Raw genomic sequence first — 18,208 nt, forward strand, 5'->3', positions numbered from 1 at the left:
TTCAGAGTGTTGAAGATTTATGCACTTGCATCCCATCTTTAGCGGCTTGGAGTCTCTGAAAATTCAGAATATTTTGAGCAGCATTCAAAGGTGGAGTGTGAAGGAGGATAGGACACAAAATTGCACAGGGCCTCCTGTTAAGAGTAGTGGTAACGTGTGACTTGTAACTCCAGGGAGTTTAAGGCAGGATGGTGGCCCATGGCCGGCAGCAATCACTTCCTCTGCCATGAGTCTGCTGACACAGGCATTCATTGCTTTGGGCTTCCCCAGCTGCTTCAGCTCAGGCCTTTCCTGCTACTGTACTTTGGGCCAAGGTATCACCCATGAGGGCCAGAAATTGTTAATGACATCTGCAGGTGTGGTCTGGAAAGATAGGAGCTTTCCAGTGAGAACTAGAGGTCTTCACTTACCAAGTACCTACCTTACTCAGAATATGATTTTAAAATTAATTATGTATATCACTAGCAGACCTGATAGGGAAAGCAGAACTAGAGTTCTGACAAGTCATCACTTTGTTTTTGGTGGTTGTGTGTATGTATTTTATTTAAATGTGGCGTCCATGTGGTTTGGCCTCTAGCTATTTCAGAATGATTCACAACTTCTGAACCAGTTGTCTTCAAAAGGGTCATTACATTTTTTTGGTATCAGGTTATTCCTCTCTTTCTAATGAGACTGACTTTGCTTGGGTGACTGTTTTAGTTTTCAGCCATATACAACATTAGTTATGAGTAAGTCATTGGAAATGGAGGGGTTCACTCTGTAGGCCCCACATCTACAAACTGTCATGTATTTAGATGCTCAGAGTTATTTAGTAATCCCCACTGACTGTTCTCTTCACTAGACTTCACTTCTTTTCTTCTCTCTCCCTTCTCTCAGTGTTCTCAAATTTATACAGAGTTCAGAGTTAATTCACCCTGGATTCAACAGTAGATATGAAATACTGAGAAGGAGGATAATGTGAAAAGATTGGCTCTAGTTGATGGAGGAATCTGTCCCCCTCGCCCCCATTTCAACAAAGTGTGATTTACTGCTACCAGCCTACTCCTTTATTGCAAGTTCCTAGGGGCTCTCCAGCTCTAATCTACGTGTTTTCTTGTCTTAGGTGTCCTGTTGGGAAGTTCTGTTTTTGTCCTTGAAAATTCCAGACTTAATTAAATGTGACTCAACCCATTGAGCCATAGCAATTACAAACCTTTCTCTTTAGAACTGAGTGGCTTCCCCATGTTTGTTTTCCTGTATTCCAGTACCCTTTCAAAATTCTTCAAAGTAACTAGTTTCAGAGTTACTAGAGAGTGGGGTCAGGTGAGGAAATTATTGCAATATGACAACAACCTTCTGAGGAAGGTGGTGTTGTGATGATCTCTCTCTCTCTCTTTTTTTTTTTTTTAACATGAGGAGACTAATGCCCAGAGAGGTTAAATTGTTTGCCAGGGTCACACAGCTATGAAGTGGTAAACACCAGATTCAAATCCAGATGGTTGGCTCTTTGTTGTGAAGAATTTCCTGGGACCTTAAGGCTGTTTCCATAGTAGTAGAAAAGAACATTGGCTCAAAAGACTGAGGATGCTTTGGGTGTGCTTTTCCCTAATGTTGCAAGACTGGAGAGATGTAACTTTCTTTTCTTCATGTCTAGAATGATAACTTGAGCTGCAAATTGAGATATTTGTTGCGAAGCTATGATCTCACTGATAAACTCCCCATTTTGGAGGTTTAAAGCAGGGTGCATTGAAGATATGAAGATACGTATGAGGTTATGTAGCATGTGAGGATAGGCATAGCTTTGTTACGTGTCTGTAATGCTTATTCCAGATGCCTAAAAGATGGAACATAATTTTTGTATTTTCTAGTATTCAGATCTCAAAACATAATTAAGATTCAATTTTGGGGAGGAGAGCAAAATAATTACATATCCTCAGATGTGAAGTATTATACAGTCCAAAACATTTAGGTCATTCTTTTTTATTTTGTCTGTTAAATTCTGTGTTCAGTTGATCTTTTAAAGTAAAACTCTGTGTTTGGAAAACTACAACCAAGTATGTCCCAGGCCCAGTTTACTTGTACGTGCAGCTGCATCCTTGCCCATTGACGGTGAGATTATATTGGCAACTTTGAAAAACCAAATATTATTGAAATACTGACCCATTTTCCCTTTACAATAACATCTTTGGCTGGGATAATTTTACCCACCTATAATTCTCGAAGAAAAATGACTTCAATTATGTCACAAAATTTAAAAAATCTTAGGATTGGAAGAGACATTAAAGAGCAATTCCGAGCCTAGCACAGTGGCTCATTCTTGTAATCCCAGCACTTTGAGAGGCCAAGGCAGGCTAATTTGCTTGAGGCTGGGAGCTCAAGACCAGCCTGGGCAACATAGCAAGACCCTGTCTCTACTAAAAATAAAAATAAAATTAAAAAATTAGCTGAGTGTGGTGGTGTGTGCCTGTAGTCCCAGCTACTTGGGAGGCTGAGGTGGGAGGATCGCGTGAGCCAGGGTGGTCAAGGCTGTAGCGAGCCATGATTGCACCACTGCACTCTAGCCTGAGTGAGAGAGTGAGACTCTGTCTCTTAAAAAAAGAAGTAATTTCACCCAGACATTCACTTATCTTGTGATTTTTGGAAGAGCAAAGTGTCAAAACTTGTTATTTGTCTTTGGTCCCAGTGTTGTGGTTGTATATGGACAGTGAATAATATAGAAAAGAGTTAAGAAAATATCAGTATCCTCTGGAAGCAGGAAGTGTAACATTTCAGGATGAATACTCAAAGGGACAGAGGAAAAGAATTCAACTGTTTGGGAAGGGCTTTGGTGTCAGAAGTTCATGCTGTTGTCTTCAGAATATGACAGACTCAGGGTCCAAAAAACATGTCAGCCTAAGATAAGTTCCAAGTGAGGATATTTTTTTTACAAGCAAGATTGTGAGTGCTAGGTCACTTCTGCAAAATTTGTGGGCAGTGGAATGATCAGTGGTTAGTCACGTGGCTCTTCTTAGTCCTGTACTTCTGTGGTCATGCAGTCCTTGTGGTGGGGCACTGAGGCCTTTCTGCCCTGTGTCCAGTGTTTGTCACACCGTTTCCCACATAGGCTCTTGATAAATGTTTGTGGGACTGAGTTGAAATGCAAGATAGATGGGAGTCTGGTAAAGAGAGGGAAATAGAATGGAGAAAGTTGAATATATGTAGAAATAAAAGAACCTAGAAACATTAGGTCATAGAACGTGGCATTTGGGCAAATTGTGGCCAATCATGGGTTATGTGGGGACTGTGGTAAGATAACCATTTGTCACATCTGGATTGAGAAGTTGACTCTCACTTGGATGTTCTATTTAGATTGACTCTACCTGGCATTTTCATGGTGTTGCTATCCATGTTGCCTTCAAATGGCATACAGTTCCTGGAGTTTTCAGCTAATTTCACTTCTGGGAGCCTTCTCTAATCCCCCAGCTCTGGATGAGGCGTCCCTTCTGTGTGCTCCAGAGGCATTCTGCGTCTCACTGTTGTGCATTTACCTCACTCTGTTGTAATTGCCTGTTTACTTGTTTGTTATCTTCCATTAGACTGTAAGCTTGCAACCATGGCCATCTAGTTGGCAGAAACTCAATACATGTTTGTTGAATGAATAGGTCATGCCTCATCCTTCTTTGGGGGACTAATATTGTTTTTATAAGTATGAATGCATAGTTGGTTCTCATTTAAAACAAAGTCTACATGAAGATGTTCACTTACAAAGAAGAAGAAAGGGGCATGGGAGCAAGAAAAATCAATTAGGTAATGATTATAGCTGTCTTACACCCATTCGAGAACAAAGCAGGGCACAAAGGTATCAATTATTCATTTTAACGAACATTCCCCAGTGCCTTTTAAAACCAAGAGGTCCAGTTGTACTTCTCTTGCTGCTGAATGTTGAAGAAAAAAAAGGCAATGCATGAGTTAAAAAGCATTGGCTAGCATTACAATTATGTGTGGTTGGAAAGTGCAGGAGTGGGATTTTAGAATTGTAAGGAGATAAGCCCTAGAGGAGCCTTTAGTTTATAGTTGGTCATCCTTGTTTTCATCTAGGAAAACAGGCCCTTGGGTTGCATTATATGTGTCTATTGGAATGTTTAATTTAGGCTTTAGAAAGTAGATTTCAGAATTTAGCAGCTATGTGTAAATGAACCAACTGGTATTTTTAATTTTGACCTTAGAAACACGTTTTTAAAATTATTAATCCACTGATAGGGTAGCCTCTACCAATCAAGAAAATTTAGTAAATTTAAATTGCCTGAGATATTATTACACTGGATCCTTTTGGTGCTAGTGCTTTCAAATTCTGTTGGGATCTGTGTTAGGAATATGTGACATGTAATCAAGAATATCCATTTCAATTCACCAATCCAGGGAATACTCAGCTGAGTTCAAAATACATGTCAACTCCCAGCAAATACATAATGGCATAAATATAAGAGGCACATTAATTCCTTATACTTAAAAGTGTATATTCTGTTAAAACAATTTTATGAACATATTTTATTCTTATTTCTGTGAAATCATAAAGAAAAAGCCTCTTGGAGTTTTACTCTTAGAAAGAAAATGAGAGAAATAAGGTAAATACTGTGCCTTTCCACTTTAGAGCTTAGCTGGAATTTGTCACTGCCCAATTCCACTCCCTTTAGTTTCCTTTGCCCATGGTATATGTGTCTCTTTAAGCTTCCCCCTTCTAAATAATCAGAATTTTTTGACTGTCTTACGTATTTTATGTTAAGATATGCAAAAATGCACTACATAGTAAAACATTCTAATTTGTACCATCATATTCTTTTTACATAAAAAATTAGTTTCTATAAACAGAGCAAGAAAAGTTTTGGTTAAGTGGGGGAAGATAAGAAATGTTACTTCATTCCACCAGAGAAGCTCAGCTCTGTGTCTGGGTTGCCAATGGGTGTGGCTATCTCAAGACGTAGAGTTGATTTGGAGTTCTTTGGAGATTTTGGCAGTTTCTGGGTCATTTGCTAGTAAACACATCCAGTGTGAACTCCCTCGCTGCTGTTGCATATTTCTATATGATTCTGTCATTTGCATTTGAGCCTGCTAAACTCTCCTTCCATACCATTCATTTATTCATCAAAAGCCTGCTTTATGCCAGACACCATGTTAAATCTTGAGAATACAAAGTAAAATACTCCTTGTTCTAGAGGAACTTACAAGTAAGTGAGGGAGACAAAGTTGAATTAATTACAATATATTGTGGCAAGTGTGACCATTGCTAGGGGAGCCCAGAATCAGGGGCATTTAAATCAAATGCGAGTGACAGGTGGGCAGTCCAGGAAGCCTGCACAGAGGAGAGGGCCCTTCAGTGGAGAAGTGACGGATGAGTGAGAGTTAAATGAGGGCTGGGACGCTGGGGGCCAGCATTCCAACTAGAGAGCACAGCCTGTGGGAAGGTGTGGAGGCCTGAAATGAGACTTCCCCTGTGAGGCTCAGCCTGGGGAAGAGATAAGGGAACCCGGTGGGAAAGGGAGAGGAAAGGGGGCTGGAGAGAAAGGCATGAGTCATGTCACCAAGAACCTGGAATGCTAAGCTATGGAATCTGCTTCATCTTTAATGTTAGCATAGTCATTGAAGAGTTTTAAGCAGAGTGGCATGGTCAGATTTGCATTTTAGAACAATGACTGACAGCTGCAGGGGAGATGCATCGGAAGGGAGCCAGACTGGAGCATGGGGACCCAGGAGGAGGCTTTCTTTAGTGGTAATGAAGTGAAGAAAGGGATGAGGACCTGACTGAAGCTGTGGCGGCAGAGTGGACAAGGTAGGTGGGGATGAGTGTAGGCGGGGCACAGGGCGAGGATTCCTGGCAGGCACACTGGTTTCAAAGAGCAGGTCAGCAAAAGGCTTTCTGGAGTCAGTGTTGTCCTCTTCTCACTGGGTGAAATGTACTGGGGACTTCAAGTCAGCCTTCCTCCATATACACTAGCAAATGCCTGCGTTACTGTCAGAAGGCTTGGCAGAAAAACCAGATCCAGGCATGCCTGATGTGTCATGTCTAGAGACGAAATCACAGTTTAGGCTCACCATGAACAAGGCAGAAGCCCTGCTTGACTTCTCAGATTCCAGAGAACTTTGCAGAGTTGGTGGTTTCTTTTTCTTTCTTCCTTTCTTTTTTTAAAGTCTTCTGTTTCCCTACAAACCAAACAAATTGAATCTGAAGACCATGGAGAGAGAATAAATATGGAACCTGCAGGACTATGATTACAGAGTTGTATTTTAGAAAACAGCAGTTAAACTTATAATTGTGTTGTTAGGGACACAAGAAATTTTATGGTTAGGTGTCCTGGTCTTTTTCCATCTTCCTACACAATGTGTTTAAATTCTGTCTGATACTCTTTATCCTAGCAGCTGACATTGCTGTTCTTAAAGGCTCACTCTGATTGCTAATTCTCACTCCTTGTATAAAAGAAAAATTTCAGTAAGATAGAATGCTTCCCTAGTTTACTGCTACCTCCTCTCAGTCTCACTCACTCTCTCACTTAAATACACACACAGCCTATATATTAAAATGTCTTTTCACATTTTATTTTTTAGGATTTGGTTCACCTTATAATGTCACTTATGGCCTCTTCTATATAATTGATCAAAGCTTGATTTTGTCATGTTTTGCTTGATTTCCCTTAATTGTGTCATTATTGAGATTGTTTGATTGACTTTACTCAGAGAACTGCTTTTAGTTTAAAAAGGAATAAAAACAGAGGAAGAAAGGAAGGACTAAAAGTAGAACAAGCTTACAACATTGGGTAGAAGACACCACCTTGTAGGAAGCTCAGTTAGTCTCATACAGAGAGAGAGAGAGAGAATCATGTCATTTCCCACTGATCCTTTTGTCTTGTCATTGTAGAAATACCTGTGTCTTTCCACTGATGTGACTGCATATGTTTCCCAATGCTTTGGGCCTCTGCTTGGCTTGTTTCCTCAAAACCACCTTCTCCTTTATGTTATGTGGCGTATGACTTCTGAGGATAACAGTGGTGGTGGTTGGGGGTGGGGTGTTGCTGGTGGTTCTAGATCTTTTTTAAACTCTCACAGACTCATTACCCTACATTTTCTAGCATGTAATTGCTTATGCCATCTGTGGTCCATTCATTTGAATTTGTTTCAGCACAGTTAATCTAATCCTATGTAAACTCCCCCAGAAGTTTTTTATGTTTTTCTTTTCTGCAAAGAATTCAGCAATTCAACTTTTTTCCCTTGTTTCCTGCTGTTTTAAATACTCATTTTCATCTTTTATAAAAATGAAGCCAAGGCTGAGTATTTCCAGTTTCTTAATTCTGAAGACAATTTGAAGGCAAAAAGCAAACCTTTTCTGCTAAGGGTAGGATGTCTTAGGTCAGTCATATCAACTGAATCTCTCCGCAACCCTCTTGCTAGTAATTCTTCCATAGTTATGTGCCATTCTTATTATGCCCATAACTTCTGTCACTAATGGTGATGGAGCTAGAGTCTGTGGACAATATTTATCTAAGAAAAGAACATTTAAGTATGTAGGTAAAAATAACTGAAACTGGATTAGACATTGGCTAAAAATAAAATGCTTTATAGTCATGACTTTTCCAATTAAAATTGCAATACTTGGCTGAGCGCGGTGGCTCTCGCCTGTAATCCCAGTACTTTGGGAGGTCCGGATGGGTGGATCACTTGAGGTCAAGAGTTCAAGACCAGCCTGGCCAACATGGTGAAAACCCACGTCTCTACTAAACATACAAAAGTTAGCCAGGCATGGTGGCATGTGCCTGTAATCCCAGCTGCTGGGGAGGTTGAGGCAGGAGAATCGCCTGAACCTGGGAAGTGGAGGTTGCAGTGAGCAGAAATGGTGCCACTGCACTCTAGCCTGGGCAACAGAGCGAAACTCCATCTCAAAAAAAAAAAAAATTAAATTGCAATACTTGAAATTGTTTATTGAGATAAATGATACTCCTAAATAGAAAACTGAGGTAATTGAAGCATTTGGTTAGTTTGTGAAGCACAGGGAAAAGACTTGCCACTTTCTGTCCAAAGGCTGATTCCTTCTAAAGACATGACACAATAAACATGTCTGTTTTAAAAATGACTTTAGGGCCCAGAGCCATCAAGGCCTGGCTAGGGAATTAGCTCAGTTGGGGACTTCGTAGACACTGGCACCTCCTGGCTGCTTTTCATTTTCAGGGGTATGTTCAGCAGGAGCCCTGGAATAGGGAGGTAGCTTAGCACAGTGGTCAAGAACCTATGCTTTAGAGCCAGACTTCCATGCAAAACTCACCTCTACCACATGTGAGCTATACAGGCCTGAGCTGTGAAGTTACTTAACCTCTCTAGGCCTGAGCTCCTTACCTGTAACGGGGAGAATAGCAGTGCCTTCCTGATGGAATGACTGTCAGGAGTAAATGAGTTATGTATGTAAGGTGCTAGGATATGGTGTGCACTCAACTCACTGAGTGGTGGGGCTCTCGTCAGCACCCCCACCATCAGGGCCCTCTAGAACCCTGCCATAGAACCTTGGAGAGACCTGGGTGGCTTTCTTACATGGACCCCCTGAAGCTTGGTGTTATATGTAACCCCAGGTTGCTTAAGAAACAGTATTAGCAAGGTTTTAGGACATGTCATTAACATCCCTCTCTCATTTTGTACATTTGAGAGGAAGGAACAATCATGGCAGGGTTTAGTAATCCTCGTATATTAGAAATAACATCTATTGTATTTTATCTCTCTGGCTCCTTGCATAATGAAAGACTGCATTATTCCTCGGGCTCCAACATTTTGCATTTGAAATTCCTTCAGTTTTCTAAAGTAATTTGTTGGTATTATTTTTATGCTTTAAAAAATATTTTATTACTTAACAGTGGGCCATATTCTGTCTTCTGTTTTGCCATTTCTGACAGAAAAATCAGACAGTCGGAAACAATTTTTCTAAAAACTGCTTGGTAAGCATTATGCTAATCTTTCTTAATAGGACATAATTTAGGATGTTAGTAAATTGTTCTTGCACCATCAGTTTCAAGTCCTGGACTAAACTACATGAGATAAAGATAAAATTTCTTACTGTGCTACACGTTGATTAGCTTATACAGTGCCTGAGCCCCACTGCCTCAGCCAGGAATGAGCTGAGTTGCTTGTGAGGTTGTGACTTTCTGAATCTTCCATTTCCTCACCTGTGAAATGGCGTTAATATCTGTTTTTACTCTGCCTATGATTTTTGTGAGGATCAGATGAGTTAATGTGTATAAAAGTATTTTTTAATATGTAAGTTTTTATACAAATATAAGGATATTCTTACTGTCATTTAACCTAGAGGCCTTTTTTTCTCTCTGCTCACTACCTAAATGCTTGATAGGCATGTGGCTCTGTTTATTAGTCTTGCCTTTCTTCCTTCATTCCAGAGGCAATCTTTTCTACTTTGTTTTCTTCCCACTTGCTGCCACTTGCTGATTAACTAATGAGAGGTGATGTTCAGCTAGGAGGAGTGCTTCCTCTGCTACCACCGTTGTCCCCACTGGGATTCCAGGTGCATCGAGAATGCAGACAGCAAGGCTTCTGTTTGTAGATTGGTTGTGGGAAAAAAAAACCCCATACTCACAGGATTCTTAAGACAAATGCAGTGGATATTTTGTGTTTGAAAATGTTCTATTTCTTCTTTGATTCTTCCTTTTCTTTCTGGTACTTTTAATTTGTTGTGAGAAGGGTGATAAAGCTAATAATGCACCAAGGAATGGAAAGTGCTTCCATCTTTGCAGAGGTCCTGGAAAGTTAACTTTTGGTCTGAAGCCAAATCCCGATGTAGGACTTGAACTCATGACCTAATCCCAGAGGCAAGAATGTTACCAGCTGACCAACACTGACCCTCATAAAATGTAGACATTTAAAATACTCCTTTGAGTAGTCCTGTTGCTGCTTTCTATGTTTTCTTCTCTCTTTCAGTCGTTTCCAGCAGTGTTCCTGGCCTCCCTGTTAGGAGCACAGTTTTAAAGATCTATTTTTCTCACTGTCTTTCCATTTGCTGATTATAGCTGCTTCCTTCTTGCTTTCCATTTCTCTTGTGTGAGTTCCTTTTTTTGTTCCTGTTCCTTCCTGTCCTTCTTCTGACTTAAAAATAGATTCCAGGGTCTTTGGCTGCTCGGCCACAAATCCGACCTTCCTTCTATTCATATGGGATCCCCCTGAGCATCTAAAGATCTTTTCCTTCTCTCTCAAGATACTTGAACCCCAGCATTCATTCCCTGTTCTCAGCTGACTTGTGGAGCTAAATGACCCTTGTACTCAGAGCTGTAACTGAAAATTAAATCTCTCCTACAAAGATGCTTAATAAGTGATTTACTTATGTTAAGTGTTACTGACAAACACTGAATTCTCCCTGAATCTACTGACTGTGTGTGGTGGTAGAGGAGAAGGGACTCTTTGTACACTGACTCAAGGCATGCGTGTAACACTCGTTTTTGTGCAAAGCAATGGTACTGTGACCATTTGAACCTCAGGAACCAGCTTTCAGACAACGTACTGTTAAGGGTATCCTGGAGGGACCTGCTGCTGTTTTGTTCCCACAGAAGTGTTTCTCAGGGACCGAAAGTTGATTAAAGTGTTTCCTCATGAACATTCTTTGGTTAGAGTTGGAGGATTATGATATTCTTTACAGAAATGACTTCCTATCCAATGTTGATCTAGACAATCCACAAATGAGTGTCTGCTCGAGGGATAAAGGCTTGTAAAACTTTAGATGACTGGGATAAAAAGTGCTGATGACAGCAGCTCTGATTTCAGTGCCCAACCCCAACCTGAAATCACTATTATGCTCTTGTTACAGCAGCAGGGATGATGATCCTCTTCTCAGTGGCAAAAGAGTTTTAAAAGGTTTCCTTCCATCTGGACCTCCAGACATAACCTATGTGGTTATGTCTCCATGAAAAGACCTGGTCCTATTCTTAGTAGAGAATCCGGAGTTTTTGGTTTCATCAGCCATAGTGAAGTTCACATTTATGTGCAGCTCTCTTATCACTGTGTCACTGCTTATGGCATTGCATTTACCTGCCCTGCTTTTCTGTTCACTGGTTGACTGATGAATCCTACTTAACCCTTTAAGTTGCAGCTCAAATGTTATCTTTACTCTTCTACTTTTCCCAACCTCTCTTCTGGATTAAGGATCCTTTTATCTGAGTTTCCTTAGCACTTTACCAAAAGCTGTATTACAGCACTTATCACACTATTAAAAAAAATGTTTCTCTTTGCCCTATTCGTTTCAGTGTTTCATGAAAGGGCGGGGGCCATATTTAATTAATCATCATATTCCCGTAACCTGGGACAGTGTTTGAGACATAGTTAGTACTTAGTGAGCATCTTATAAATTGTTTGGCCTTATCTTTATTATAGAACGTGTATCTTTAGTGACTTTTTTTTGGTATTTGGTAATATTGTAAGTTCCATTTTTTGAAGCAAAAGGAAAACATTGAAGCAGCTAAATTTAGCTTATATTTTATACTCCAACTACTGATAACAATAAAAAAAAGAAAGTGATGCTTTTGCCTCATCTTTGTCATCATTACTTGACCTACACATTTCATGATTGTATGAAAAGTGGCCTAGGTATGACAGTAACCTTTATAGATGGGATGACTTGGAATTTAGAGTTAATCCATATACTTCTTAGTGACATATAGGTTTGAGTCATGGGTCAAGGATAGACCTCTGGGAACTCAGTTTCTGCTTTGAATTCTGAAGTTATTCTACTTAGGATTTTCATGTATCTTATTATATCTGGTATCTGAGGCCTATAATTGGCTTCAAACTTGCATTGACCCACTGTCAAGCCAATAAGGCTTTGCCCTACATAACACATTTTTATGAAGGGATCTGACACATCTCCATGAACATAGTAATGAAGGTTATGCCCATAATGATGAGGCCTGTTACTCTGAGATTTATGTTGCAGGCTTGTCCTGTAGTGTACTTTGTGTGGTGCACCTTTCTTACCGGAACTCACAGGCAAAAGGAGACTTAATAAGTGACATAAATTACATAATATTTTGGGTATACTTTTACATTTTCATTAGTACAACTCAATTCCCTTGCTCTCTGGCCCTCCGACACTTTTCTTTATTCTGTGGTTTTACATTCTTAAGTTTGAAATTTTCACTTTAGGCAAAATGTAAAGTTTATGCAAGAGGTTTTCAGAATTCTAGAATTTCAGAATTCTGTTTTTAGGTGCTTTCATTTACATTGTCCCAAATGTAATTGGCTCCATTAAAATTAAGTGTTCTGATGGCTTCTGAACCTTCCTGCATGCTTCCTTGCCTTTTTCTTTGCATCGGTGTTCAATGGCATAAATGTTTGCTTTAGAAAAGAAGGATGGACTTTTTTTTAAAGCAATGCCATTCTTAAAAGAGTGTTGAAGCAACATTATACTTTTTTTTTTTTTTTTAAGAGACAGGGTCTTGTTCTGTCGCCCAGTCTGGAGTACAGTGGTGTGATCATAGTTCACTGCAGCTTTGAACTGCTGGTCTCAAAGGGTTCTCCTGCCTCAGCCTCCCGAGGGGCTGAGACTGCAGGTGCACACCACCATGCCTGGCTAATTTTTAAATTTTTTGTAGAGATGGGGGGTCTCGCTATGTTGCCCAAGCTTGTCTTGAACTCCTAGCCTCAAGCGATCCTCCCACCTTGGGCCCCTAAAGTGCTGGGATTACAGGCGTGAGCCACCATGACTAGCCCATTTTGTTTTGTTTCGTTTTGATTTAAAGAAGAAGAAAATCATCTATAATTCTGCCATGATAACACAGTTCTTTTCACTTTTACTTATTATCTTCCAATTTTTGTTCACAGGCACACATTTTAACATAGTTGCAATCATGCTATCTATTCCGTTTGTGATAGGCAGGAAATATTTTTCAGAACAAATTAGAAAGGTTACTTTCTAATTTGAATCGTTTGTGATATTTGTTATGTTTCTGATGCCACAGACAAAAGAATGTATTTGGACTTGGTGTTTGAGGAGTTTTAAGGTGATAATGCTTATTTATTGGTTAATGAGCCTCATTTCTGTTTTTTACCCCCACGAAATCTCCCATCCTGTATCAGGGGTGTGGGGCTTGCATGAGGACCCTGATAGCACCATATGAGATGAGGGCATGTGACAAACGTGCAGTGGAATTCAGCTGGAGTGGATGGTGCTCTTTCCTTCTGCTTCTAGACATCATTGCCACTCTCTTGCTCTGGAGGATGTGGGTCCAGAACTCTCTAGGCCTGTGCTGTTCAATATGGTAACAACTAGCCATATGTGCCTATTGAGCACTTGAAATATAGCCAGTCCTAATTGAAATGTTCTGTACCTGTAAAATCCGCACCAGAGTTTGAAAAAATAATGTAAAATATCTCAGTAATTTCCTATAGTGATCACATGTTAAAATGGTAATACTGTGGGTAAAATGGGTTAAATAAAATGTATCGTTAAAATTAATTTTATGGCTGGGCGCGGTGGCTCATGCCTGTAATCCCAGCACTTTGGGATTACATACACCAGGCTGAGGCTGGTGGATCACCTGAAGTCAGGAGTTTGAGACCAGCCTGGCCAACATGGTGAAACCCCGTCTCTACTAAAACTACAAAAATTAGCTGGGCGTGGTGGTGGGCGCCTGTAATCCCAGCTACTCGGGAGGCTGAGGCATGAGAATTGCTTGTACCCAAGAGGCAGAGGTTGCAGTGAGCTGAGATTGCGCCACTGCAGTCCAGCCTGGGCGACAAGAGCGAAACTCCGTCTAAAATAATAATAATAATAATAATAATACTTGTACCTGTTTCTTTTCAATGTTTTTAATTTGGCAACTAAAAAATTTTAAATTGCCTATGGCTAGCATTATATTTCTACTAGACAATGTTGCTCTCAGGCCTTACTTTTCAAAATGCAGCTTGTGGTTTATTTGTGGGTTCTGAAGTCAGTTAGGTGGGCTAAAAATCAATATTTTAAAATCAGAACAGAATGGAATAGAAAATATTAGAATGTCATTATTGTAAAACTTTTTGTTTAAAGTATGCATGTGTGGACTGGATCCCATGTAAAATGTATTTTTTCTTTTTACTATGAATCATGGCTAAAAAGTTTGAAGATTAGTAATCTGGGGTGGCCTGACTTAATCTGAAGCATTACCAGGAGGCCTGGTCTGCTCTGTAAGAGGGCAGGTTGGTACCAGGAACACTTTATAGATTTTAGGTCTGGTTGGTAAAAGCTATTCTGGGACTCTTCAACTAGACCAGACCCTGCAGGAAAGTAAACCTGAACATTAGTGCTCATCCTAAAAGCAGTGGCCACTCAGGAGACTTCCAGAGTGAAGGGTGAACTAAGGATAGCTTACTGAAAGCTGGACCTGTGTGCTCAACCCTAAAGTGTCCCTGGAGTCCAAGAATGACTTTTGTCTGGTTACTTGCTTCTCGGAGACTTTTTCAAAATGGTCTCATGAGTGGTGATACTTTCTAAGAAGCAGGATGATTTCCTAATGACCTTAGAGCCAAGATGAATTGGACAGGGTTCCTTGTGACCCTCAGGTCCTCCCTGCATCATATCCTGTTGAAATCAGAAGAGACTGTATTCTAATCTAGAAGCATGTCTGTCTTCTTCCTGCCTGACAGAAAACATGTCCTTACAGTACAAAAGATGTAGGGGTGGTCACCAGAGCTGTACTTTTGGCTGGGTTCTAAATAAATGACACTGTAAGCCACAGAGAGAAGGGAGAAAAGGCTCCAAAAATGAAGTTTATGGGGTTACATGGGCCTTGTATTTATTCTGACAGTTGTAAAAATTCTTTTGGGCTGACCCATTTTTCTTTTCTTAATTAAAAAAAAAATATCTGGCAGGCAAGAGGAAGAAATGTAAACCATGTGACTAATGCTTCAGCTTTTTCTCCTGGAGCCAGATTCTTTAAAAATTATACCTTAGACATGTTTGACTTTTTAAAAACAATTGCCCACAAAAGCCACCAAACATTTTTTTTCTGAAACTTGTAGACTTAGATAGCATTCATTTTCAGGAAGGAATCCAAAAGTACAATATTTAGGAGTTATTGAACCAAAATCTCCTTTGGAGATTTTGCCCTGGTGAATTAGATTACCCTAGGAATTGGCAGAGGAACAGGCGGCCTTTTGCCTCTACTTTGCTTGAGTATTTCCAGTCCTGTTGGTAGCCACCCAAAATGTTTGAGGGAGTTAGACTAAAAGATCGTCAAGGTCCTTTGTAGACGAAAAGTACTATGACTCCAGTGACGGAATGACATGGCAGTCAGGAGTTATGTTTATGTTGACCTCTTGTTTTATACTTATTGCAAACAATTTGTTTGTTTACTCACTCACTCAAATTTGAGCACTTACTATGTGCCAAATGTTGGCCTTTGTAGGAAAATCATAGGATTTTAGAGCACTTATCATAGTAGATTTGAGGGCTTCAAAGTCAAGTTCCAATCTCCCTTTCTGGGGTGATTTCCTATGTCTCACTTTTGCAACTCCACACTTCAGCTAACTGGGCTATTTTCCTGTTTTAGGGTCTTTTCTCTTGCTGTTGCCAGGGTCTAAAATGTCCTCCTTTCCTTAATGCCAGACATCTTTAAATCGCCAGACATCACTCAAATTCTAGCTCAAATGTTACTTCTGTGAGTCCTCTCTGGTTTCTCAAAAGGTAGTAAGTGATTCTTCTCTCAAGCCAAAGCACTTTGTACTTCTTTTTTTTAACACCACACATAATCTTCTTAGAATGAACTGTATGAAATCACCAGTTTTATAAGTTAAAAATGGTTAAATATTGGCAGCTTCATACAGTTCCAGCTAATATTAACTGTGTTATTGTATGGAACTTAAATTAGGCCTCTATAAATATATTGCCCCCAAGACTTATAGCCAGAAATATTCTTTTGTCTTTTCTTCAAAAATATGAGTTATTATTAAACTAAGTTTCATTAAACCTGTGCTTGCAAGTTTCATTTAAAAAATTAAATATAGAAAATATTTATTTTTAATTTTATTAGTCTTAGCTAATCATCTAAAATTTTGATTCAGTAAACCAATGTATTAGCTATAACTTTCAGTGTAGTTTAATAAGGTTCTGTATAATTATCTACTTTATTTGTTAAAATGATTTATTCAACATGGCTAAACATAAAGCTCTGTGATATATTGCTGGAGACATTCCCCACTCCCAGCAATACTCGCCAGTTAACATTTTTTTCACCATTCAGTATTCCGTGACATCTGATTTGGATACATATCTAGGCAACTCTACAATTATTCAACTTACGGAGTTCCACTGTAGCTATAGAGATCTCAGGAGAGAGTTGGTGGGATAGTTATTTGAAGTCAATGAATATCATGTCTGTAGCATTCCATGTTACCTGTATAGAATCAGAGAAGGATGGAAAGTTAGTTTGATATGATTTTTTTTCTTTTAATTTAGAGACAGGGTCTTGCTCTGTCACACAAGCTGGAGTGCAGTATGGTCATAGCTTACTGCAGCCTCAAACTTCTGGGCTCAAGAGATCCTCCTGTCTCAGCCTCCTGGATGGCTAGGACTACAGGCCTATGCAATCCCCCATGGCTAATTCTTTTAATTTTTTTTTAGAGATGGGCCTTGCTATGTTACCCAGGCTCATCTCGAACTCCTGGGCTTAAGTGATCCTCCTGCTTTGGCCTCTCAAGGTGTTGGGATTATGGGCATGAGCCACTATACCTGGCTGATTTTATTTTTCTCGGTGATTTTATGTTAGTTCCTAGTGATCGTTGCTTACAAACCAAATCTGGGATTTTGGGAACATTTGTTGGCAGAACTACCCATCCGTTGTTTTCAGTCTACCTTAATTGCTGCCTAAAAATTGGTATACCTTCTTGTACACCCTTTAGACACCACTGTGATTCTAATTTCTGTGAAGATTCCGCTCATCACATCTGCTTCTCCTTTTAGTGTCCTTCCAGGTTATTTATCCGGCCCTGGAGACATGAAATCACTTGAAGGGCTAAGTGCTTTCTTACTATCACCTTCTCTATCTTGGGCTTTAGTTTCCTCTTCACCATGCTGGTCCTACCCTTTCCAGTTTGAAGATCATTTTCCTTGATAGGGAGGATAGAAGCAAAAGAGGAGTGAAGTAGTTCTGCTTTTTCTTTGTTATCAGTTAACATTACCCCACCTATCAGCAACCACTGCCTTCCTATTTTTGCTCCTAGAATAGCTGAAAAAAGTCCTTTTACTTGACCTTAACAATTTTGACAAGGCTCAGTTCATTATACTATTCACTTTCATGTTACTGTGTTTTATAAATATGTGTTATCCTAAGTATATGTATAGCTTTAATTATGGGACCTGCTTTCTATCTTTTATAATTTGGAAAACATGTACAACCACCTTGATCTCTTTAGGTGCTTTCTTTCATTGCATATTTTAAATATTTGTCTCACCTTTCTTGAAGCCTCTTGCCTGTTAAAGAAGGTTTATATAATAATGCTTTCCTAATGTTTGGGATACATGTCTGACACCTGTACAAGAAATGTAATCACCCTCCGCCAAGGTTTCTATATATCCTGCAGCAACCATTTTTCATAACTGAGCATAATTATGTCTGGACTAATAGTTATTTTTATTTCCTCCTATCAGTAGAGTAGATAAAAACCTAGAAGAAAGCATTGATAGCTATTGGTGAGTGCTTATATACTGAGAGGGAGGAGTCAAAGATAATTCCAAGACTTTTGGTGTATTTGAACAAAGAGAACAGTGGTATCATTAGTAGAAACAGGGATTCTGTGAAGAACTTCTTTGTGGTGCTGGTGGGAGGGTAGTGATATAGTTATTTGAATTTTAGACATATCATGCTGGAAGGGTTTCTGGATTAGAAGAGATTTGGGATTAGAGGAGTACATTTGGGTATCATTTACACATCAGTGATACTTTAAGCAGTAAGAATGAATGATATAGAGAAAATGGAAAATAAAAGAGTATTGCAGGCCAAGTGTGAGTAATGTCATGTTCAGGGGACCAAAAGGTAGAGACCGGTTAGCCTAGGAGTCAGAAAAGCATAGCTAGGGAGGTAGCAGCAGTAACAGGCTAATTCATTGGCACAGACTTTAGGGGAGGCCAAAGTTTTAAATACATAAGACTGTGTACTCTAAAAACAAGTAACATCCTGTCACTTTTGGTCATTTCAGCTTTCCAAAGCATATTTTAAAACTGAACATTAATGAAAAGCTTCTCTGA

At 39.5% G+C, this 18,208-nt stretch overlaps 1 protein-coding gene across 13 annotated transcripts in view, besides 1 other annotated feature; it reads left to right on the forward strand.

Moving 5' to 3' along the window:
* The window catches only part of RGL1 (ral guanine nucleotide dissociation stimulator like 1), a 292,424-nt gene that overhangs the window by 171,280 nt on the left and 102,936 nt on the right, over positions 1 to 18,208 (forward strand). The window lies entirely within an intron of this gene.
* Positions 155 to 204: an enhancer, noted in NCBI's record as "active region_2223". NCBI's record gives its function as "activates an Ori minimal core promoter by ATAC-STARR-seq in GM12878 lymphoblastoid cells {active_cell/tissue: GM12878}" and the evidence as "EXISTENCE:reporter gene assay evidence [ECO:0000049][PMID:35858748]".

The sequence above is a fragment of the Homo sapiens genome, chromosome 1 (genome assembly GCF_000001405.40).
Source record: "Homo sapiens chromosome 1, GRCh38.p14 Primary Assembly".
Lineage (NCBI taxonomy): Eukaryota > Metazoa > Chordata > Mammalia > Primates > Hominidae > Homo > Homo sapiens.